Source organism: Homo sapiens, chromosome 4 (assembly GCF_000001405.40).
Source record: "Homo sapiens chromosome 4, GRCh38.p14 Primary Assembly".
NCBI lineage: Eukaryota > Metazoa > Chordata > Mammalia > Primates > Hominidae > Homo > Homo sapiens.
The window spans coordinates 112,404,140-112,429,721 of record NC_000004.12 but is presented as its reverse complement, the minus strand read 5'-3'; the positions used below and the strand labels follow the sequence as shown (position 1 = coordinate 112,429,721).

At 41.4% G+C, this 25,582-nt stretch overlaps 1 protein-coding gene across 3 annotated transcripts in view; it reads right to left on the bottom strand.

The window, feature by feature from the left end:
* ALPK1 (alpha kinase 1) overlaps positions 1 to 25,582 on the bottom strand; it is a 145,253-nt gene that overhangs the window by 12,900 nt on the left and 106,771 nt on the right. For all 3 annotated transcript variants that reach the window (NM_025144.4, NM_001102406.2, NM_001253884.2), the window contains 6 exons: positions 17,697 to 17,895; positions 5,719 to 5,778; positions 3,971 to 4,057; positions 3,179 to 3,255; positions 2,057 to 2,152; positions 469 to 573 (listed from right to left, as the gene is read on the bottom strand). In NM_025144.4, the coding sequence (NP_079420.3) occupies positions 469 to 573; positions 2,057 to 2,152; positions 3,179 to 3,255; positions 3,971 to 4,057; positions 5,719 to 5,778; positions 17,697 to 17,895 (624 nt within the window). The remainder of the gene's footprint in view (positions 1 to 468; positions 574 to 2,056; positions 2,153 to 3,178; positions 3,256 to 3,970; positions 4,058 to 5,718; positions 5,779 to 17,696; positions 17,896 to 25,582) is intronic.

Below are 25,582 nucleotides of genomic sequence, written 5' to 3'. Positions count from 1 at the left end.
ACTATAGGCACGTACCACCACACCTGGCCAATTTTTATTTTTTAATTTTTTGTAGAGACAAAGTCTCACCATGTTGCTCAGGCTAGTCTTGAAATTTTGGGCTCAAGCCATCCTCCTACCTTGGCCTCCCAAAGTGATGGGATTACAGGCGTGAGCCACCATGCCTGGCAGGAATATGTATTTTGAGAAGGTTCCTTGGGTGATTTTGATGTGCACTCAGGCTTGGGAACCATTGCTTCACAACAGACAACAATCTACCCTTGGGCTGAATTAATTTAGCTCCTAGTAGGCTGTCAAAACTCCGACCAATAAAATTTTTCCATATGTGGTGTGGAGTCTTATCACAATTGCCACTGATGAGACACAAAGCCTGTTTGAAGGTTAAACCTTTCCCTTCTCACTGGTTACATCAGAAAGCACCCTGGGAGAGGTCCTGTGGGGGTTTGAGGAGCGGCTGCATTCGTTTACCACAGCTGTGAGCACGAAGAGCGGCGTATAGGCACTGAAGGCAGCTGCCAGCTTGCAGGCTTCTGCAGCGGACAGCAAATGGTGGTCAAACTCCTTCAGCAGGCTCTGTGAGAAAACAGGAGGCTAAGTGGAATGGTGATAATTAATTATCGATGAGCAAAAAACAGGCTATGAAATGGTTTTGCTTTTCTTTCATGATTTCAAGGGACTCCTCACCGCAACCCGTTCAGAACAGTGTAAAGAAAGAGTAAGTGGGTCTAAAGACCACAAGGTGTTGACTTTCCTTTTTCCCAGCAGACACACACCTGTGCAAAATAATTTGGGTGAGCTTCTTTGGAGGACGGTGGCAGTTCTTTGTTCAAAGGAACTGCACATTTTGAAGCCAGATTAATTGATTTCTGCACGCTCTTGGCAAAGAGCCCTTTAATTGATGATTTCACAGCAATTAGAATTCATTTATTAATTCTGTAAATACGTATAGAGTACCACCACATTCCAGGGCCTGTTCTAGACACAGGGGAAACAGCAGACAGTGAGCCCTCAAGGAGCTTACTTTCTGTTGTGGGGGAGGGACCAGTCAATATACAAAACAAGTAAAGTGCATAGTATTTGAGATTATGACAAGTGTTCTGGAGAGACAATAAATGGAGAAGGGGTTAGGGAGGCCCAGGATGGGAAGGAAGTTTGCAATTTTAAACGGTCATCAGGGATAACTTCAGTGAACAAGGGACATGATCCTCCTGTTTTGGTCAAACAGAAAAAGCAACATCTTAGATTCAGATTACCATCAGCAAGCTGTATGTGTTCTTTTGCTACACTAATTAGTATTGAGCATGGTTACTGTTGTGATTTAATGGTATCTTTAATAATGGGGTCTTGAATAAAAATGGCAATATAGACGATAATAAAAACTCCATTTAAGCACAGTGTGAAGAGCAGCAGAACATCCTTGTCACTTCTCTGGGCTGGTCAGAGATCTGGGCTCAGCTCCCAGTTCTCTCTCTTACTGGTTGTGTAAACTGCAGAGGTTAGTTAGTTTCTCTGCACTGCATTTTATTTTTCTCTAAAATGGAATGATACACTTTGCTCTACCCTCCTCATAGGGTTTTATTGGATATATATATACTTTCTTGAGTTGTAAAGTGATATATAAAAATTAGCAGTCATTATTATCAAGGACGAGAGCCTGGAACAAGGGACTGATGCTCTGATTTGAACAGATGGTGATTACAAAGTTTTAAAATTATTACCCCTTTATCATCAAGATGGCCCAAGTTTGGAAACTGCATTTTGTTATACTTTGAAAGGAAAGAAGTGAGGCTCAAAATCATTTTGTTGATATTCATTCATTCATTCACCAGTAACTTTCTGAGCACTCTCTGAGTGTCTGTTACAGTGCTAGGCGCTGGGATAATAAAGCCAAATAGGACCCCACAAGACTCCTCCCCAGGATTCCTCCCATTTGTCTAGGAGGCGCAGCACTGAGCTCCCTGCCTCCCAATCTCCTGAGAAAGACAGCCACTAACCAACCACCAAGGACACGATTGACAATTTTACAGGTGATGCCACTCAGTGTTATGATAATTACCAAATTAATTTGTGGATTGTTTTTAAACTTTTCATAATCGTTCTTGCTCATGGAAACAAAGATGTCTGCCAGTATACCTAGCGACGTGGAGAGGCCCTGTAAGAAAAACACAAAGAAGTCACAGATCGGGAATTCACAGTGGATTACTGCTCTCATCCATGGCCTAAAGGCTATGATTATTCCTCCATATGAACTATTTGCCTATTAATATTTTATTACTATGACATTGGAGATACTATTTTTAAAAATCAATTTTTAAAAATACTATTTTTAAAAATACTATTTTTAAAAATACATGTTTTATATCAAACATGTATATAATAATTATACATGTTTATGGGATACAATGTGACATTTTGACATATATATACATTGTGTAATAATTAATACCCTGACTTGGAGATATTTTTAAATTGGCTGCCACAGAGCTTGAAGGATCAACACATCCTAGGGCACATGGGCCTAATGTAAACACAGCTACTTCTCAGTTGGGTTTCACTGGATGATCAATACTAACTTGTCCCTACTGCTAGGCCTGAATAACTGGCCCAAGGAAGAGCTCATATCAGTCTGTATTGTAAAAGAATCGTAGACAGTAATTGCTTACACAGCTCAGGGAAATGTAATAACCAGATGTTTCAGATAATGAGACTATTCCCACAGAATTCCAGAAAATGAAAATGTCAAGTAGGAAGGCAGATGACCTTCCTCAATTTCTTGAATAAAGGTGCTATATAAACAGTTGAAGTCTTCGCCCACTCAACTCAAGAAAACTGATTTTACATATAAGCAACTTGGTCATCTCAACTTTGCTATGCAATCAAGTAAAGAGTAAATATATAACAAAACAGATAAATGAATGGACCAGTAGAGATAAATATATAAATGGACAGTTACAAATGATTATAAGAACACCATCTATGCACCAAGAGTCTAGCTGTGAGTGAGGATGAAGCAAGACACATAAGGAAGCTACTAACTGTACCTGGCCCTATGCTTGTGAAAAATAAATAAAAATAGGACAGATGAAATTGATATATGAGAAATGGACTTCTGTCATGAAGAGATAATCATCCAAAGACAAATACAGGAAAGGAGAAAAAGAAGCACTAGACAAACCACCTTTTTATCCGGCTGAGGAAGTGCCAAATATCCTACAATGGAGGCCCATATTAACTCTGCTGCTTCGTACCACATCCCTGAAAAAAAAAAGAGGGGCGGGGAGAGGGACAGGGGAGGAACAGCTAGTATCTGTGCTCTTGTATAGAGAAAACCTTTGAAAACAAATACAGAACCAAGACTCATTAGATTCTGTTAGGAAAACTTAGGCTTAGATTAGATTGACACAGCAATGTTTTTCCAGTTGTAATATAGACAATTTTTCCATTTCACTGGGAAACAGAATTATTATATATTTGTATATATAATATGTGTAATATATGTAGTTATCTCAGTTTTTTACAAAAATAATAATTGCCACCTCCTGTTAAAATTTCTCAAACCATTATTTTGCATTCTAAAGTATATTAGCATTCTATAAACTTGAAAAATTCATGAATACCTTAAGGAATGAACGAAAACAGTGTCACGGTGGGTATAGTATAAGGTGTCACCATATCACATGGAGTCCTGCTGAACTGAGTCAGATGCTAGAAATAACACTGGGAACCCTACAGTTAACATTACAATATACAACCGTGAACCTCTCTAACAAAACTCACTAGAAAAAAACACATTTTATTAATATTTGTGACACTCCTAGGATCTTAAATGCCATTCTCTTTTCGATGAGGAAACTAAGGCAAGTGGAAATTAACAATTTTAGCCTGATAAAAGAAGAAAATTCCACAGTGAAACCATGCAGCCAGGCTTTGTAAATGAGCCTTGAGAAATGCAAGTTTTACATGATTGTACCCAGCTTTTGCAGAATCTGCCCTCTGATCTGTATACAGACCGACTGCACCAGGACCTTGTCACTTTCATTTCTGTACAGCCAGGTACCTAAAAGAAAAGATGAAAATTCCCTTGAATTATCAGAGATATAGCCTTGCAAATTAAAACTATTTTCACAGAAGTCTTCATGAGCACATGTGACATCATTTTGAGAAACAATCTCGTCTCTACATTTAGAATCAGGTCCAAACTTCTTGCTGTAGTCTAAGGCTCTGCAGGAACTGACTCCTGTCTGGTCTCCAGTTCCCCTACTTACTCTCTGTCCACTCTACTTTATTTTGCCTCCTTGTTATAGGGCTGGCCTCTTGCTTCATGGCAGCTGCACTTACCACTAGCCCTGCTTGGGATTCTCTTTCCTCTGGCTTCTTAAGAAACCAGATCCTTCTCCTTCAGGTCTCAGCCTCAGTGCTTTTCCTCAAAGGCCTCCACAGAGTAGTATTTCTACACTGTTACCCCCACTGTCTTATGGTTGCTTTGCGGAGCGTGGGGTGGATCCCATCTGAGGAAAATTTGTTTGGATGTCAAAACTGATGACTGCACACATGTACCAAGAGGGTATGAGAAGATTTATTGCTCACATAATGAGACTTTCTAGGGTAAGTAAGGCTAGCACCTAAGCTGCTCCTTTGATTCAGGCAGGGAGTGGTGAGCGGCTTTGCTTTTCACTGTGATTGGGGTGTGGGGCCGGGTAAAGGTTCCTGTAAGCTGGGTTTGGGTGTGTGGATGAAAGGGCTTTTTGTTGTTTGTTTGTTTGTTTTAATCGGACTGTCCAGTGTGAGGCAAAAGTAAAAAAGGCTGTGGCCTGAAAACTGTCAGTGGTCGGTCAAACATCAAAAATAGAGGCAGACTCTTTACTACCCCCTCACCATTCTCTGTCACATCAGATAATATTTATTTTCTTCCTAGCTTTGAATCCTTGTGTGCGTGCGTGTGTGTGTGCACACACACATGATGACAAGAGTGTATACTGTAGTTTAGTGATGGTGGCCACAAGTGAGGGGTGTGTGGTTAATATTTGGATTCCAAACTGTCTCCCCACTAGAAATGTCCACAAGTTTCAGGCAGTTTGAGACCTCACATCCAAGCATGCTGAGTTTAAAAGTCCAATGGAAACTGTGCTCAACTTATTGGTAAACTTGCTAACTTAAATGCCCAGAAATTCAGACAAGATATCTGAAGCCTTAAGTTATTTGTTACCTAACTATTAGGTCTTGCCTCCTTTCATGGATAATTAAATATTGAAAGAAAATCCATTTTGAAACAAGTTTTTATTAAAGTTCTTATGTACCAAAAATCAAATCCATTTTCTGAACCATTTAAATTGATAAAGCCGAAGCAGACTCTTCTGAACTTAGAGGCTTTTATTTCCAATCACAATTTTGTTTAAAAGCTGCTGTTGAACCTTTCTAAGGCCCACTGAGTTATCTGCCTTGACAGTGATTGTTCATTAGATAGCATACTCTGTAAGGAAGCAGGCCAATAGTAGGTTCCTTGTCTTTGTTGTTTTTTTTTTTAACTTAGAGAAAACAGAGACACAGAGATGTAAGCTGCTTGATCAAAGCTTCTTCATTCATCAGTGGCAGAGCCAGCCCCAGATAGCTCTGGAAACATCTAAGGTATAGTAACTATTAAGTCACTAAGTTGTTATTAAATGAGTGCTCTGTTCGGGGCTGAGGTAAAAGTCATTGTGAAGATATGAAAGTACTCACCCGTTGCTCCATTGTTGCTTATTAGACTGCTCAGAATATACTCTGCTTTTAAAAGTTTTCCTGAAAAGCAGCAACCAAATGCCACACAATTAGCTTTGAACATGCACTTAACAATTACAAGTTGTTCATGTTCTAAGACTGATATATTGCAGCAGGAACTGTAACCTCCTTTGGAAGCATTCCATTTTATAATTTAAAATCAACAATGACATCATCTATAAAACTGAAAAGAAAGATGAAGTTTTCCTAAGTTGGTAAGGTGGGAAGTTGGACAGTATCTGAAATGAAAATTAGATTCATATGTATGTGATAATTCATTCACATAGAGCAGGGTTTGAGGAGTAGAGGCAAACTTTTCTAACAGGCTGTGCCGCCTCCCTGTGAAAACTATACTTCAGGAAGTGGAATAGAGTTGCCCGTGGACAGGAACTAGTTATGGAATTATCTGGCAGGAATTTGGGGGTGGGGAGTGAGGAGATTCTTTCTCAAGTTTTTACTTATTTTTGTTACTACCACATAGGAAGGGCCTATTCTATGGACACCTGTTGGAAACACAATTATTTATCCTTTTAACCAAACATTCCTTTCTCTAGGTTCCTCTAAGCCCTACATGATCTGGCTTTCATGACTTCTTTGACCTCACCTCTAACTACTTATTCCTTCCTTCTTGGCCCTCTACTTCAGTCACAGTGGCCTCCTTATCATCCCTTGGGTAGACCAGGCTCATTACCACATCAGAGTTTTTGTATTTACAATTATTTCAGTGTGTAACGCTTTCATCCCAAATATCTGCAAGGCTTCCTCTCTTCTTCTTCAGGTCTTTGCTCAAATGTCACTGTCTCTGAAGGCCTCCCCTGACCATCTTATTTTAAATTACATACGTAGACATACACTCTGGCTGTGGTAGGTTGTATTTCCAAAAAAGACCACACCAGTATATTCCATTCTTCACGCTCGTTTGCAATGATGACCTGGCCATTTTTCCATCAAAAAGTGGAATCTAGAGTTTATTTCCCTTCACCTTGAACACAACTGGCCCTGTGACCTGTTTTGACAAATGGAATGTGGCAGAAGTCTGGGCGTTAAGGGATCTTTAAATTCTGCCTTCCCTTCTTGGAACTTAGCCCAATGCTCTGAGGAAGCTGAGGCCGCCACATGGAGAGGCCCATGCAGAGGACAGCTGAGGCCCTCCCCCAAGGCCTCTGCTTGGCTCTTAGCTGGCAGCCAGTACCAAATGCCTACTGTGTGGATGAAACCATTCCAGACCTTCTAGCTATCCCAGCTTCCAGCTGACAGTACTTATAATAATCACCCAAACTACAAATTATGAGACTGAATGAATTATTACTGTTTTAAGCCACTATGTCATGGAGTGGCTTTTAACATAGCAATGGAAAAATCATGCACTTAAAAGTGGAGTACTACTATAACAAAAACTTTGGAGACTTGAAGGGTGTTGCAGAGACAAAAGGCAGTGAAGAAATTGTTCCTGGAAGTTTGAGAAAGGGAACAGACATTATACGGTGTTGTAAAGTTTGGCAACATGGTCTCCAGGAGTAATGTGGAATGTAGCAAAATGTAACCAGTGGACTCGGTGTCTAGCTAGGGAGATACCCAGGAAGGATATTGAAAGTGCCAAAATGTGTATCTTTTAGTTACCCAAGATAAAGTACAGGAAGAAAGCAATAACCTAAAGAAGAAACTACAGTAGTCCCCTCTGTCCCCAGTTTCCCTTTCTGCAGTTTCAGTTACCAGCAGTCAACCACAGTCCAAAAATATTAAATGGAAAATTCCAGGAATAAACAATTCATAAGTTTTAAATTGCGTGCCGTTCTGAGTAGCGTGATGAAATCTCATCCTGCCTGGGACATGAACCATTCCTTTGTCCAGCGGATCCATGCTATCTACGATGATCACCCATTAGTCACTTAGCAGACCTCTCCATGATCAGATCAACTGTCTGTCAGGTAATGCAGTGCTTGTGTTCAAGTCACCCGTATTTTACTTAACAATGGCCGCAAAGGACAGGAGTAGTGATGCTGGCAATTTGGATGTGCCAAAGAGAAGCTGTAAAGTGCTTCCTTTAAGTGAGAAGGTGAAAATTCTCAACTTAATAAAGAAGGAAAAAATTCATATGCCAAAGTTGCTAAGGTCTATGGTAAGGATGCATCCTCTATCCAAAAATGGTGAAGAAGGAAAAAGAGATTTGTGCTAGTTTTGCTGTCACATCTCCAACTGTGAAAGTATGGCTACCGTGCGTGATAGATGCTTAGTTAAGATGGAAAAGGCATTAAATCGGTGGGTAGAAGACATAAACAGAAATGTGTCTTGATTAATGGCAATCAGGCTTGGGCATCTACTGGGGTCTTGGAACGTATCCCCCATGAATAAGGGGGGACTACTGTATTCCATTTTTAAGCAAGATTTAGGGAAAATAAAGACGGCCCAGAATAGTTTTTCCAGACAGCAAGACATTCTGAAGATAAATTTAAAATATTAAAACCTGGGGCAAAGGTCAAATTCAGGGCACTGGCAGTAAAATGTGACCTTAGGGTCAAGATCAAACCAAGGGCGTGGCTGTAAAACACTTTGTTAAGACCTCAGACCCTCTGACCAAGCGAAAGAGCTTCTAAGAATCTTAAGGGTGCTGTCCTGTATCCCTTTGGTTTGTAGCCCAAAGTAGCATTCAAAGATAAATGTAGGCATTTTTTTTCTAATTTAGTATGTTAAAAAGCTAGAAAGTATTTAAAGGAATTATATCAGCTTGATTTAAGAAGGGCAGAGATAGTTCAAAATGAAAAGAGACATCTGGGAGTCAAACTTTCTATAGGCATGGAGTACGCTGAGATGTTTTCATAAAAAATATTTTATGGGCCGGGCACGGTGGCTCATGCCTGTAATCCCAGCATTTGGGAGACTGAGGTGGGTGGATCACCTGAGGTCAGGAGTTCGAGACCAGCCTGACCAATATGGTGAAACCCCGTCTCTACTAAAAATACAAAAAGTAGCCAGGCATGGTGGCGTGCACCTGTAGTCTCAGCTACTCGGGAGGCTGAGACAGGAGAATTGCTTGAACCCAGGAGTTGTAGGTTGCAGTGAGCTGAGATCACACCATTGCACTCCAGCCTGCGTGACAGAGTCTCTCTCTCTCTCTCTCTCTCTTTCTCTCTATGTATGTATGAGTATATACATGCATTTTATAGACAAGGAAGGATGATTCAGAGGACAAATCCAAAAGCTGAGGCGAACCATTCTCAAAGAGAAAAAGTGAGCCCTAATCAAGAAATAATTCTTGTCCTCACATCAGGAAGACTTGGGATATATGCCTGGCTAGATTTTAGATTAATATGAACCGTGACTGCTGAGTGACTCTCATTTCCCCCGCTTTTGCACAGAAGCGCCTATTGAAATTATCTTTTCCTATATCCCCATTGCATGCCAGTTGTGTTGGAAGGTAGGTAACTTGTCTTTTAGTTCACAAGTCTCTGTGTCCCCAGAAGAAGTACCTGAGAAGACTTGTTTGTCCCTAAACCTACTTCAGAGGATAAGATCTTAAGCTTTGAACCTGAACCCTTAATGGTACGAGGCTCTGAGGGAGGAATGAGTGTATTTTGCACATGAGAGGGATGTGTATTGTTGTAGCCAGAACATGAACTGTGATTAAATTGTTTTAGGCCACTAACTTTGGGGAGTGGCTTGTTGCAAAGCAAATGATCACCAAAACACTGCCACTGTTTCTCACCTCTGCTTTATTTTTCTTTGTCATTTATTGCCATAAGACACATTGTATATTTTAATTATTTCCTCATTGCCTGGGTCTCCCCATTAGAGTGTGAACTCTGAGACAGCAGGAGGTTTTGCCTGTTTTGTTCACTGCCCTGTCCCATGTACCTCTAACAATGCTTGGAACAGGGCAAATATTCAGTAGCTATTTGTCATTCATCCAAATACATGTTTGAATTGTGCCAGGGACTGTGCTAAGAGCTGGAGATGGAATGATGAACAAGACAGAGCCCCTGTCTTCAAGGTAATAATAGTAATAATAATAACAATAAGAGCTACCGTTTATTACGTGTTTACTATGTGACGGACATTGTTCTAAATTATATCTAAGCACTCTATTGTCTTCATTTCACAAATAAAGAAATGGGCCTTACAGAGGATAAGTATCATTACCAAAAGATATGAACCAAGGCAGCCTGCCATGAAAGTCCAAACTCACCAGTGCTAAACTGCTTTCCAGAGATACCACTATCTCAGATTAGTTGTCCAACATGATATTTTTGTAGGGGACCATTTTCAGCCATGCAGGATACAATTTTCTTTCCTCACATTCTCATCAGAGGATGGAACATATAGCATGAAATAATATCTGCAGTTTTTAGAGTTTCTCATCTTGTCTCCTTCCCTTGTCAATTTTTAAAGTTACTGTCCTCCCTCCCTTTCTCTCTACCTCTTTCCTTTCATCCTTCCTTTCCTCCTTCTTTCCCTTCTGCCTTTCTTCCTCTTTTCTTCCCTCCCTCCCTTCTAATTTCCTCTCTGTTTTAAACCTCATTGCTGTGCTATTTTTAATTTTTTTATAGTTCTATCTTCTCCCCCAACTTGAACCACTTGATAATGAACCATATCTTGATCATCTTTATAACTATCCTAAAGGCCTAATGCAATTGTTGGCACATAGCAGGCTTTCCACATATATTTGTCCAAAAAAAGAAAAACAGAGAAACAGAGAATAAAAGAAAATTAGTATCGAAATCATGGCTTACAGTCGAATTAAATTTATTCATACCAATATATTTAAAATGACAGATATCAAATGAAATACCTACACGAATAAATTTTATCAAAGCAATCTCTATTCTTAAAAGATATATTTCTAATTAGGTTTTGTTGCTAACTAAGAATGGGCATTTAAAAAATATTGACTTTGTATTCACCAACCTTGCTGAATTTCTTAATTCTAACAATCTGTGGATTTCTTGGAGTATTCTATGTGTTCAGCCATATTGTCTACAAATCATACTGTTTTTGTTTATTCATTTCTAGCCTTTATACCTTTTATTTCCTTTCATTTTCTTATTGCCTTGAGAGGACTTCCAGGGAAGTATCAAATAGAAGCAGTAATGAGGTACTTTTTTTCTTGACATGACTTAAAAAGGAATTCTTATAATTTTTCATCATTGGTTTTGCTGGAGGCTTTCAGTTACTTCCTTTTATCAGTTTAAGAAAGTTCCCTCCTATGCAGGGAGTAACTTTTTCAGCTCCAACTTATCATCTTTCAGTTCCAATCCACCCTTCAATACCTGCTTTGTGATCATGGGGATGGATCTGGTAAACATTTCTCCTTTGTCAGCTGGCAAGATGGTAAGCCTTGTCATCGTGGGGTGTGGAAGGACGCTGCATGGGAAGGGTGCTTCTCATCCTGACTTGGTGTGCTCCTCTGGCCAGGCCACTGCGGGTACCACTTCCTAAATGCCTGACTCCTACAACACAGGCTTTCATAGCTTTCCCTGTGCCTGACTCCTGCAACATAGGTGACTTCTGTAGCATCTGTCTCCTCATTGTGCAGAGGGTCAGCCGAACCCGGCAGTCAGTCCTCTCAGCTGACTTTACAGTGGAGTGCTGTCAGTTAGGCTCCTCTGGTGACCAGTTTCCCCTGGCACTCTGTAAAGGCAGCTTTGTGGTGAGTTCTAAGACACAGCGCCTCCCCGTGGATGGCTTCCCCCAACATTCAGAAGGTGGGTTTCCAGCGAGTTTGGCCAGCATGGAACCTTGGTGACTTCTCTGCCACGCGGCGAGCCATGTCTGTGCCTTCTCCAAAAAGGTCTTGATCTCAGCCGTGGTGTGCGTAGGTATGAGGGCCAGGAGCTCTTTTTTAGGTGTTCTATCTGAGTCCAGGGAATAGTGGCTGTACCTTAAAAATGCTATCCTGCACGCTTTAGAGTTCTTCTTTAGAGTTCTCTTTACTTTTCACTAGCCAAGCCCTCATTACTCTAATCCCCTGAAATAGTAATTCTTTGTATTGAACTTTCCTGTTCAAATTACTGTGTGGTTTCTGTCACCTGATTACATTTCTATCCCTAGTTTGCATTTTTAACCTAAGTCGGTTGAAAATTTTGTTAACTTTAAAAAATCTATTTAGGTGAACACATACTTTTTCTTCTTTATTCTGTGCATGTGGTGCACTAAATGAATAGATTTAAAAATACTTAACTATCAGCCAGGCACGGTGACTCATGCCTATAATCCCAGGACTTTGGGAAGCTGAGGCAGGAGGATCGCTTGAGCCCAGGAATTCAAGACCAGTCTGGGCAACGTAGAGAGACCTCGACTCTACAGAAAATAAACAAGTTAGCTGGGCATGGTGGCACATGCCTGTAGTCCCAGCTACTTGGAAGGCTAAAGTGGGAGGATTGCTTGGCCTGGAAGGTTGAGGCTGCAGTGACCCATGATTGCACCACTGTACTCTAGCCTGGGTAACAGAGTGAGATCGTGTCCCCCAAAAAATAAAAACAAAAATAAAACCCACTATCCTTATGTATCTGGAATAAACCTTCCTTGATTGTAATGCATTATTAATTTAATACAATGTTGGTCAATTTGGTAATATTTCAAGATTTTTTGCACCTTATTAATTATATAAGTGATATTGCCATATAATTTCCTTTTATTTTAATCTTATATGGCTAAATGTATTTACCACATTCTTTAGTCATCATCTTTTTTTACTCTCCACTTCTTCATTCTAAGTTCAATTTTCTTCTTAGAAAAATGCATCCTTTAGTGTGTATGTGAGTGTGTGTGTGAATGAGAGAGCTGTCTTGAGAATAATTTATTTTTAGCCAATCAGGTCTGAAAATGTCTATTTTATCCTCACTTTTGAATGACAATTTTGCTAGGTATAAAATCCGAGGTCAAAACCTATGTCCTCTCAATTTTTTGGAGATTCTCTTGCTTTCTGGACTCTTATTATTGATAAGATACTTTTTGTTAGTCTAAATATACTTCCTATATTAATCTGTCTTTTCTGTCTGTTTCTTTAAGACTTTCTTATTGTATGATTTTCTATAGTTTACCACACTAGGTATGGTCTTGAATTTATTTAAAAAGTTTTTTTTTTTTTTTTTTGAGACAGGGTCTTGCTCTGTCACTCAGGCTGGAGTGCAGTGGTGTAATCATGGCTCACTGCAGCCTCAATCTCCTGGTCTCAAGAGATCCTCCCACCGTAGCCTCTGGAGTAGCTGAGACTACAGCTACATGTCACCACACCTGGTTGATTTTGTTTATTTTTTGTAGAGATGAGATCATCCTGTGTTGCCCAGGCTGGTCTTGAACTCTTGGGCTCATGCGATCCCTCCCACCTTGGCCTCCTAAAGTCCTGGGATTACAGGTGTGAGTCACCATGCCTGGCCTAAAACTTTTTTGCCCAAGGCTAGATATACTCCTTCAGTGTAAAGACATAATTTTCTCCAATTCTGAGTCTAGTTAGTCCCGCTAGAAGTCTTCCTATGCTTCTGTGTTTTTTTAAATCTCTTTGAGTTTTTTAAACTTCCCTATTTTCATCTACTTAGCTCTCTGTGCTTCATTTTCAACATTTTTTTTAAATACAGTTTCCAGTTCCATAATTTTCTCCCCCACTGTTAATGGTATTGCAGGCGTACATTTCCGGTAGGTCAGTTATGGGGTTGGAACATCTGAGAAACTGGCTGTAGAAAATGTACCTTGATTTTAAGGTTGTTAGTGGTCATTAGTCCCAGGTGGGCAGCCAGGCACGTGGTTAGAATCTTTAGATGATCCCTTGCTAGTCAAGCAAGGTTCACAGAACAGCAGCATCTCAGGCCGTACCAGAGATCTACTGAATCGGAATCTGCATTTTAATAAGATCTTTAGGGGATTCAGAGCACACTGAAGTTTGGGGAGCACTACTATTTGTGTCTTTTTGTTGCTAGCCTGAATCGAGGAGATTAAGTGAAACACTGAGAGTGAGCATTTAGAAATTTTTATTATGATTTGCCAAAATAATTGTATAACTCTTGAAGCTGATGATAATAAATACATTAAGCTTGCATTTTTGTATCTTTGTTTTTTACTTCATTTTTCTAAGGATTTATTTTATCTCATTCACCCCATTGAAGCAGTCTGGTTGGCAGTTGGGCACCCTTACTAGCAGGTGAAATGCCAAAAGCTTATCTCACCAACCGGGAGGGTGTTCTGTGCTCTTCAGCCATGGTTTTGTAGTTGAATTCTTGTATCCTGTCTATATAAAAACAAACTTGCATGCGCTGCCTGTTCTGTGGGGAATTCCCCATCAATTACTATTACTTTCTCTTTTTTTTTCTTTTTTGTTTTCTTTCTTTCTTTTTTTTTTTGAGACAGAGTCTCACTGTAACCCAGGCTGGAGTGCAATGGCATGATCTCAGCTCACTGCAACCTCTGCCTTCTGGGTTCAAGCAATTCTCCCGCCTCAGCCTCCCAAGTAGCTGGGATTTCGTGCGCCTGCCACCACACCAGGCTAATTTTTTGTATTTTTAATAGAGATGGGGTTTCACCATGTTAGCCAGGCTGGTCTCGAACTCCTGACTTCAGGTAATCCACCCGCCTTGGCCTCCCAAAATGCTGGGTTTACAGGCGTGAGCCGCTGCCCAGCCTGTTGCTTATAATTTTAATGTAAGGTCATCTTTAGCCAAGAATATTTTCCTGTGAGATTCCCATGGCCCTGGGTGTGGATACTTCTCTAGAGTATAGTTTTGCATTTGATCTCCTGGGGCCCAGAAATTTCAGTCCTGAACAATTTTTTTTTCTTAATTATTTGATGGCAGGTTTCCTGCTTTGTGGGCAGAGTAAATTCAGACTCCACACTCAAATTCGGCACAGAGTTGAGACCTTTATTTTAGATGAGAGTTTTTTTCCCCTCCATCCCAGAGCTTGGGCGGAGAGCAAGCGTCCTTGTAACTTCTCTGGGCAGGCTGGTGGGATTGTTCAGTCTCCTTTTGTAGCCTGTGCAAACCTTTAAGAATTCCAGCTTGATGCAAATATTTTACTTCTCACATGGGCACAAGGCAATTGTCTCTCATCTCTGCCCAGGGATTAAAATGACAGCCCCTTCCCTTGAGGACTTTGCTCAAGTGTAAGTTCCTTTGGCTATGTGTCGTAAGCAGTAGTCTATTGCTGTGATTTTAAATACCTTTTATGTTTCAGGTACCTACAAATCTTTAATTCACCATATTTATGTATGTGTAATGGGAGAAGATTCTGCACGTGCTCAGTCCTCCATGTTGATGGAATTGGAAATCTGAGCCTTTATCTGTAACTGTGGTTTGAAAGGTTTTGTCTCCCAATTTCAGGCAAGAGTGAGGTGAGCAGGCCTTGTGAGTCGTCTCTCTTTTTTTTTTTTTGAGACGAAGTCTTGATCTTGTGCCCCAGGCTGGAGTACAATGGTGTGATCTCACCTCACTGCAACTTCCACCTCCGGAGTTCAAGTGATTCTCCTGCCTCAGCCTCCTAAGTAGCTGGGATTACAGGCGGCTGCCACCACGCCTGGCTAATTTTTGTAGTTTTCAGTAGAGATGGGGTTTCATCATGTTGTCCAGGCTGGTCTCGAACTCCTGACTTCAGGTGATCCACCCGCTTCGGCCTCCCAAAGTGCTGGGATTACAGGCATGAGCCATAGTGCCTGGCCTTGTGGGTCTTCTCTTGCTTCTGACATCCCACTACATTGAGTGTTTGGCTGGATGGGATCCTGTGGTGGATACCAGGAAGCGCTGGATCAGATGGATAATAGCAAGACTGCTGTCCTCTCATATTACCTTTGTTTTTCTTCCTTACCTCTTACAATATTATATAATCTCTTTCACTTCTCCACCCCACGATTCCTAAGTGCTGGGCCTGAGAGCCTCCTTTCAGCAAATCTTCTTCTGTTACCCCTAAGCCATCCCTGCTCTCAGTCCCAGTCCTTCTCTCTCTCTGAGACACCCAGTGTAGGTGGAGGCTCCAGATGTTTTGGGGTAGACGTTTACACAAGAAGACTTAACTCTGAGGTTATATTTGTCTTTCTGTGGCACTTTTAATAGTGTCTTTGAGGAAAAGACAATCCCAACCATTAGGGAAAAAGATCCAGGACCTTTATGTTAGACACAGGATAATGTGAGCAGAGGAGCATCCTATTCATCATGATCATCCCAAAGCTTTCTCATTATCAGGAGAAAACTGCTATACCACCTGGTTAGAATCTTGAGAGAAATAATTTAAAAAACCCTCCCAAAACCAATTTAAAAAAAGGAAACCGGGTCAGGCATGGCAGCTTGCACCTGTAATCCCAGCATTCTGGGAGGCCGAGGTGGGTGGATCACCTGAGGTCAGGAGTTTGACACCAGCCTGGGCAACATGGCAAAACCCAGTCTTTACAAAAAATACAAAAATTAGCTGGGTGTGGTGGCGCATGCCTAAAGTCTCAGCTACTTAGGAGGCTGAGGGGGGAACATCACCTGAGCCCCAGAAGTCGAGGCTGCAGTGGGTTGTGATCAGGCCACTGGGCTCCAGTTTGGGCAACAGAGCGAGACTGTCTCAAAAACAAAACAAAAACAAAAATGGAAACCTGAAAGACCAGTTTGGACATGTAAAAGCAAAGCTGTCAACGTCCCTGTTTACCATTTGATCTCAATTTCCATGTCACACTATAGCAATGCTGTATGGCACAAAATATGCTACATTAACTCTGTTCCAAGCTCTTCTTGATGAGAACCAATATTAGAACCCTGTCTGTACCCTCCAGCCTTCACCACTCTGTTCCCCTCAGAGAATGCGCTGCTCAAACATCATTGCCATCTGACACCATCAGAAGGAACAACAGTTGTTAGGTTTCTTTCATATCCCACACATTATAAATTACATCAGGAACATTTTAAAGAAGAAATTTTTCCTAAGTTCAGCTCTGTCCCTGAACTTTACTTGAGATAAGTAAATAACAAGACCTGCACAATTTATGCACAGTTGCAAGAACTTGAGCGTAAATGAACTTGGGCTTTTGAAAAGGTAACCTCCACTAGCCCATTTCTCCCATGTCCTTTTGTCTCTGTCCCTCTCTGCATTCAGCAATTGTCCTATTTAGCATAGTTAGTACAGTTCCTTTTCAAAGGAAATGAAGTAAAGAGATTTTAACCTCTTAAAGACCAGAGTTATTAAAATAATAGCAACAGCTAAAACCAATCAGAAAATGAACCAGTCCCATTTCTGGGAGGGGTAACTTGCCTTCTCTTTTCATCCTTTACTTTTTCAGTCTTGGAAACAGGAATAACAGGCTACACGTTTCTAAATCTAATGGCTATCAGCAATTTAAATAATTCAAGAATTCTATGGAAGTGGACTTTGCAGTAACGCATAGCAGGCCCCCCTCCCCCCAGCCCTCTTCCACACCACATCTTAAGTTAGAATGTCAGCCTCCTTTTTCATTTCATTCAAAGTGACAGGAAAAAAAAAGATACTTTAAGACCTAATCAGGTACTGTACCGGTGTTCTGAATGATGAAAAAAAACCCTCAAATTACTTCAGTGGGTTTGTCAGCTCTATTGTCAGCTTAGTCAAGTGGTCCTACAGAAAGGAGACAGGAGAGCGAAGAGAAAATAGTAGAATTCTAATCTGCTTTTTAAAGACTCTTGGTCAGAAGTATAGCAATTCAGATACCCCTGTTTGAAAGCAGCAGGACAGATTTGTTAGAAGACAAAAGCTCCAATTAGTATTTTCCACACCCTTTCACAATTTTCTCTACTGCTTTTGGCTCTGAAACCCTTTATGCCAGGGCCTTTGTGCTGGCAAAGAGGCGGGTGGAAGGGCACAGGGGCGGGGGAGGGGAGCCCCGGGCTCGGAAAGATGGCACGCAGGGCCCGGGTGCTCCGGGTGTCCCACAGAGGTCAAGTAGCTCGGGAGGGAAGGGGACCAGAAGACACTGAGGACGCGGGGGCGGCCAGCAGGAGGGAGCATACCTGAGTTCACGGAGATTCGGGCTTGGCGAATAACCACCTGCGGGGCAATTGGCGTGGCTGGCTGCAACTTGTGGAGACCTTTGGCGACCTGCAGAAGTTTTCCAGAGACGTCGAGCCCATACAGGAACCGGTCCACCAAGAACACAATAGCCGCCGCAGCCGCACAGTCCCGAGCGAGGATGGAGGCCCTCAGGGACGCCTGGAGGAACAGCGTGGAACATCGTGAGCCAGGCGGAAACGCTGGCAGGCTGAGGGCCAGGCTTAGCGTGGGAGGCATTTTCATTAATACAACAAAACCCACAGCTAGGAAGAGAAAAATACTTTGTTAGGCAGCTGAACCGAAAGAAAGAAAATAGAAAAGTCCAGTTCAATTGTGCAATAAAATAGTATTTCCTTCATTCAATTTCCCCCATTACATTTATAAAATTATAGAAGCGATAAATGCATACTTCCCGTTGTTAAAAACTCAAACAATACTAAAGCGCATAGGGTAAAAAGTAGGGCCGGGCATGGTGGCTCACGCCTCTAATCTCAGCATTTTGGGAGGCCGAGGCGTGTGGATCTCTTGAGGCCTGGATTTTGAGACCAGCCTGGCCAACATGGTGAAACCCCATCTCTACTAAAAATACAAAAATTAGCTGGGTGTGGTGGCATGCGCCTGTAGTCCCAGCTACTCGGGAGGCTGAGGCGGGAGAATCACTTGAACCCAGGAGGCGGAGGTTGCAGGGAGCCGAGATCCAGCCACTGTACTCCAGCCTGGGCGACAGAGCGAGACTCCGTCTCAACAACAACAACAACAAAACTATATAGGGTAAAAAGTAAAAGCGCCCCATAGTTTCCCCATCCCTTATCTTATTTCTTCTCCTCCTGCTTCAATTCTCCTTGACAATGGTTAGGGAGAGACGTTCCTTCCAGAACGCCTATCCTTTTATTTATATTTAGACATTAATTGATCGTTGTCTTGCTTTGCCTTCTCCTACCCTTCCTATCTCTTTCTCTCTCATACGTAAATGACGTCACACTAAACATATTGTTCTGCTGTTTTCTTCTTTCAATCATCATCATCTGGGAGAACTTCCACATTAGTTCATGACACTCTGCTTCATTTATTGCCTACATTTTAATTAGGAAGAAATACAGAATTTTAGATAACAGTCCATATTTGATTTATATCATCATGTTTAGTTAATGAATAAAATAAGAAAAAGAAGAAAACCGGCATGAAATGAAAGTGTAACATAAAGAGCGAGAAGTAGAAATAAATAATCAAATTTTTATGAAAAAACATCATCATCTTTTGCTCTGCTAGGGTGTTATACTAAAGACCTTTGATTTAGTGGTTACGTAGCTAGTAGCATAAATGAGTTTATCACCCAAATACTATTATCTTCCTATGCTAAACTAAATCATGCTGAGTGCTTTCTGGGCATGTTTATTCATGCATGAAGCCTAGAAAGCATTGTAAGTATTGCCCATTTTCCTACCACAATGTTGCTACACAAAGTACTGCTTTCATCACCACATAATCCTAAGTACTAACACTTACTGGGCAAAACCAGGTGCCAGGCACAGTGCTAGGTGATTTATATGCACTAATTCAATAAGTTCTCCTAGCAATCCTAAGAGGCACGTTCTATTATTATTCTCTTCTGTAAGATGGGAAACCTGAGATGCAGAGAGGTGAAGTGATATGCCAAGGTCACATGACTAAGAGCTGGGGTTTGAACACAGGAGGTCCAAATCCAGATCCTACATGCTCCCTTGTTGTCCTGACTCTATGTTAGGAAACCGGATGGAGCTGCTGGGAGTCTGGAGAGGCCCAGGTAGGGAGTTAACAGGGCAGAGTACCAGAAGAAGAGAGTTGCACAAAGCAAGTTCAGAGATCTGCAGAGGGTCCCCTTTGAGTCAATTATCTGATATTTACTATTATGTTAATAAATACCATATGCATAATTGGTTACAGGATATTTGTATTTACAGGCTTTCATCAATCAGGTAATGCCTGCCAAATACCAGCACAATAATCTTTCTTTTTTAAAACTGATGCTTACTTAACATGTTAAGATTTTTAAACTGCCAATGTGTTTATTAAGTATAAAATTTTTTACTCTATTTATCTTTTTGGTCTGAGTCTATCATTGCTGTCATTGTGATAGAATTGCCAACTGTTGGGGAGAATATCTCTTCTCTCCTCTCGATGTTTCCTTCCATGTGACGGAAGCTCAATGACCGTAGCGTCCTCGGCCTCTTTCTATCACTTTCCCCACTCTACTTCATGAGGGGTGGAGTGACTAATCTGACTGGTAAATTTTAGAAGAATAAAGTGGGCATGTATGACTTCTCTTCTTCCTTTTTTCTCTTGGGAACAAGCTGTCTAAAGGAAACGGCAATTTGTCGTTACTTCTCTATATCATAAGTCTTGTCTAGTAAGCCGCCCTACATGGAGTATTCTGCTTGACCCTGTAATTCCTGTGACTAAATGGGGACGTCTATATAATTTTGGGGTTCCACTAGCAGATTCCCTACGTCTAATACAAAGCTATATCTTCTAACTTACCCTGTATTAGAATTAAGGGGAATATTTCATCTCTTGTTTGCCTCTTTTGTCTTATTTCTCCATTTGCTCAGAATCCAGGAGAGGAAGAGAGGTACTATTGATCAGATCCTCCCAAAGACCCTGACATGAATAACTGCCTTTCTAAGGCACACCATAACCCTTTCTAGGGAAACTGCTGTGCCCACAGCCCCTGTCTTTGAGGTAGCTGTGTATTTTGCTACTTGGCCTTGACACCCTTTTTTCTCCACCCCACGACCAGATCAAGGCCACTGGATTGAGAGTAGCTACCTGATAACCTGACCCCTCATGATTCTGTGGCCAGGCTTTAAAAAACCAACGTATCAATCTGAACTAAAAAATATAGAAAGAATTTGCCTGTTGTTGAAGGATAGGAAGAAAGTAGAGTATAGCCAAGCCATGTTTATGGGCAACACAAGGGAAGATCCAAGAATGGCTCTGAAGGCAAGTCCATGTTTTCATGAGTGCCATTCTAGGAATTACATGTCTCATTTAGTATGCCACATGTATTTTCAAAATAATACACATCCCCTTTTATGTGTTTACTTGATTGAGCTTCTGTTCCTTCCAACCAGAAAAAGCCTAACTAAAATTGCCATGCTCAAAACTTCGACTGAGTTCGTCAAATAAACCATCAATCGGAAAAATGCAAGTTTCAAAATGAGAAAAAGTCTGTTGGCTGAGCGCAGTGGCTGAAGCCTGTAATCCCAGCACTTTGGGAGGCTGAGGTGGGTGGAACACTTGAGGTCAGAAGTTCAAGACCAGCCTGGCCAACATGGTGAAACCCCATCTCTACTAAAAATACAAAAATTAGCCAGGCATGGTAGCAAATGCCTGTGGTTCCAGCTACTCAGGAGGCTGAGGCAGGAGAATCACTTAAACCCAGGAGGAGGCAGAGGTTGTAGCGAGCCAAGATTGTGCCACTGCACTCTAGCCTGGGCAACAGAGCAAGACTCAGTCTCAAAAAAAAAAAAAAAGTCAGTCATTGGCATTCATAAAATGTAAATCAAAGATGGAAAAGCAAACTGATGGTTTTATATGTGGCCAGCTGTGTCTAATAAGGCCAGTCTCTCAGCAAGGCCAGTCCTTCCTGTGCTAAGGACACATAGATATAGTCCTTTGTTTTGTATCTTCAGCTACTGTCTTCAGTACTTGAAGTTTCTGCCACTGACAGCCTTCCTTCTACTTTTGCTTAGAAAGAACAACACTATTCCTGCCACCCTGCTTATGGCTATGGACCTTGGGGGGTACTCAGATAGCCTGTGAATGCCCTCTTTTTGATGTTACACTTAAGTGCATGCTTGATTTCTAGTTCTGCTCTCCATTTTTTTTTTTGTCTTTTTTGAGATGAAGCCTTGCTCTGTCACCCAAGCTGGAGTGCAGTGGTGTAATCTCTGCTCACTGCAACCTCTGCCTCTCGGATTCAAGCAATTCTCCTGCCTCAGCCTCCTGAGTAGCAGGGACTACAGGTGCACGCCACCACGCCCGGCTAATTTTTGTATTTTTTAGTAGAGACGGGGTTTCACTATGTTGGTCAGGCTAGTCTCAAACTCCTGACCTCGTAATCTGCCCACCTGAGCCTCCCAAAGTGCTGGATTACAGGCGTGAGCCACCGTGCCCAGCACTGCTCTCCATTCTTACTAGTGTCTCACTTCAGTTTTAGGGAAGCTGCAGTAACTACTCGGGCAGCAATGTTCAGAGGCCGGCTATTCTCCAGAGGTGATTCCCCACTCTTTCCTCACAGGGAATAATGGTTTCCACTTGTATAGGACCATCTAGTCTATAAAAAATGTTCACACACACTATGACATTTAAATTTTATAGTAACTCTAAAATCTAAACGAGAAAAGGAAGCTGAAGCTGTGAGATTCAGTGACTTTCCAAAGTTACAAAATCAAAAGAGTCAGAGCTAGGCAAAAATTCAAGTCTCTCTCTCTGTTATTTTTATTTACTTATTTTTAATTAATTTTTAGAGACAGGGTCTCACTCTGTCACCCAGGCTGGAGTGCAGTGGCTGATCATATAGCTCACTGCAGCCTCAACCTCCTGGGCCCAAGTGATCCTCCCACCTCAGTTTCTGAGTAGCTGGCATTACAGGCATAAGCCAGTGTTCCTGGTTTCTCTCTTTCATAGTGGTAAAAAATGCATAACATAAAATTTGCCATCTTGACCTTTTTCAGTATGCATTTCGGCAGTGTTAAGTATGTTCATGTTGTTGCAAAACAGATCTTCAGACATTTTTCACTTTGCAAACCCAAAACTTTATACCCCTTAAAAAACAACTCCCCTTTTTCCACTCTCCCCAGTTCCTGGCAACCACCATTCTACTGTAAGGGTGAAGAGGTGTGACACCTTTCCTCTTCCATCATAAGGGTCACTGCTGACACTCCTATAACACAAGACAGGTTAGCAAGAGAAAAGCATAACAAATTTATTTAATCAAAGTTTGACGTTACATGGGAGCCTTTAGAAATGAAGACCCAAAGACCCAGAAAAACTTCCCATTTTTAAGGCTTAAATTTGACAAAGAATAGACAGCCATGTAGAAATGTGATTGGACAGAAGGAGTATGACTAATGATAATAGACTAGGTGCGATGGGACTCAGCAAGACCTATCTGGTGAGATTTTTCTCAGCCTGTCTGTGTAGTATCCTTCCTTCCAGGTACAGGTCTTATAATCTATCAGACAAGATAGGACAGAGAATTTTTTTATGGCCAGCCTCTACACAGACAGGCAGGGAAAGGTTAGAGTAATATTTCTAGGTTTTATGGCTTGCTTTGGTGGAGAGGGATTCTAACTTCTATGACTTGCCTTGAGGAAGAGGAATTCTGTGGTTTCTATGACTTGGTTTAGTGGTGAAAGAGGGGTGAGAGACAGGAAAGCAGGAGAAGGTCAGAGAGAACTTGCTTCTGAGGCTGCTTCTGGCGTCTTCCAATCTCCTTTACTTCAAACTACTTAGCATGCCAAAATGCCTTACTTTGGGGTATCCTTTTCTGAGCTCCAACATTACTTTCTGCTTCTATGAAGTTGACCACTTTAGATACCTCGTATTAGTGGAATCATACAGCATTAGTCTTTTTACTTCATTTAGCATGATATATTCAAGGTTCATCCATATTGTGGCATGTGGCAAGATTTCCTTCCCTTTTAAGGTTGAATAATATTCCATTGCATGTATATACCACATTTTGTTTATTCATTCATCCATCCATCAATGAACATCTGGGTGGCTTCACCTCTTTTTATTGTGAATAGTGCTGCCATGGACATAGGTGTGCAAATATCTCTTTGACACCCTGCTTTACTTCTTTTGGATATATACCTAGAAATGGGATTATTTGATCACATGAGAGTTTTATGTTTAATTTTTTGAGGGACATCCATACTGTTTTCCACAGAGTTCGCACCATTTTACAAGCCCACCAAGAGTGCACAGGTTCCATTTTCTCCACATCTTTGCCAATACTTAGGAACACAACTCTCTTGAGCATCAGTTCATCTTCTGCTTTTCCCCTGTGGCCTCAGCAAGGTTCTGTGGAGCAATGCCTAATCTGGGAATAAGAAATTGGGTCTTGGCAGAGTGTTGTGGCTCATGCCTGTAATCCCAGCACATTAGGAGGCCGAGGCGGGTGAATCATGAGGCCAGGAGTTCAAGACCAGCCTGGCCAACGTAGTGAAACCCCGTCTCTACTAAAAATACAAAAAATTAGCCAGGTGTGGTGGGGCATGCCTGTAATCTCAGCTACTTGGGAGGCTGAGGCAGGAGAATCACTTGAATCTGGGAGGCGGGGGTTGCAGTGAGCCGAGATTGCACCATTGCATTCCAGCTTGGGTGACACAGCAAGACTCTATCTCAAAAAACAAACAAACAAAAAAGTTGGGTCTTTAAAGCTGGGGCTGAAGTCACTGTTGAGTCCAAACAGTGGTTTTAGGGGCCCCGCTTCCTTCATTATAATGAGAAAATTCTATGAAAAGAAAAACAGGGACAAATAAAAACAAATTCCAAATAAAAAGAGTGATCTTGTTATATATTTAAAAATGAGAGAAAGGAAAGAAGACTTCCCGGGAGGTGGCTTTTAATTTTCATGTTTGATATTCTCTAGCAAAAGTTGGTATTATGAGAGCAAATGATGATTTGGTGATAGCTGGGGATCACTACAGTTGGGCACTCCTCACAGTGAGCTACAAGGACACTTTGTAAGTCCAGTGGCATCCTTTATGAAATGGTCTCCCTGAGTTATGAGACAGAGCTTCTTGGAGTCCGGAGAGGCCCAGGTAGTGAGTTCACAGGGCAGAGTACCAGAAGAAAATAGCTGCACAAAGCAAGTTCAGAGATCTGCAGAGGGTCCCCTTTGAGTCTTCAGCAGAATATTGATCAGCTTCTGCATGGAAAGAAACCACCCAAAGCTGGGGAAAAAGCCACCTGAAATGAACATAGGAAGCATTTCTTAGGCCTCAAGCAGCTTGCGTTTCTATCACCCAGTGTAGAAGAGTCTTGTCATTTACAGGGCATGGGGTGGAGTATTCAGAAAGGTACTGCTTCGGTAGGGAGACTAAATTAGCCTTTGACTATGACTGTTCTTGGCCAACTCTGATAGCTTAGAAGCAAGCTTCAAAAGGATCAAATTATTTCCTAACTTGACTGAGTCCCAGAACAAAGCTCAAGAATATTTATAGGCACACAAAAATGTTCACAATCCAAGAAGGTAAAGTTTACAATCTGGCATTCAGTCAAAAATTGCCAGGTGTGAAAGAAGCCCAGATTGCACAGAAAGAGAAATCAATAGAAAGTGACCCCCAGATTACAGTTCAAGAAGGTAAAAATTAGGTATATGCAGTAGAGACATGGAAGATATAAAAATTGATCTAAGTCAAATGTTAACAGATTAAAGCGATATAATGTCTGAGATGAAACCATGAGTATCTCAGTTTGTTTCCTAGCTCTAGCACTTATTTGCCACGGCAAGTTACTTAACTGCTCTATTCTCAATGACCTCATTTGTGAAATGTGGATAATATTCATTTGTGGTGCTGTTTCAGGATTAGAGGAAGTGTGGGTCAAATGCTCAGCACAGAGCTTGGTAGATTGTGGGTGCTTAATAAATGACATGGAACACCATGAAAAAAATGGAAAGAAGTCAGCCACTCATTCCCACTCACTTGTATGACGAGGTATAAACAGGCACAGACAGACTCCCAAAGTGAGTTTCAGTGGAAGTTTCAATAGAGCAAAACAGAAATAATGGGTCATGCATGTAACATCTACAAGGTTTATCCCAGAGAATGGCTAAACCTCTCATTTTTTTCAA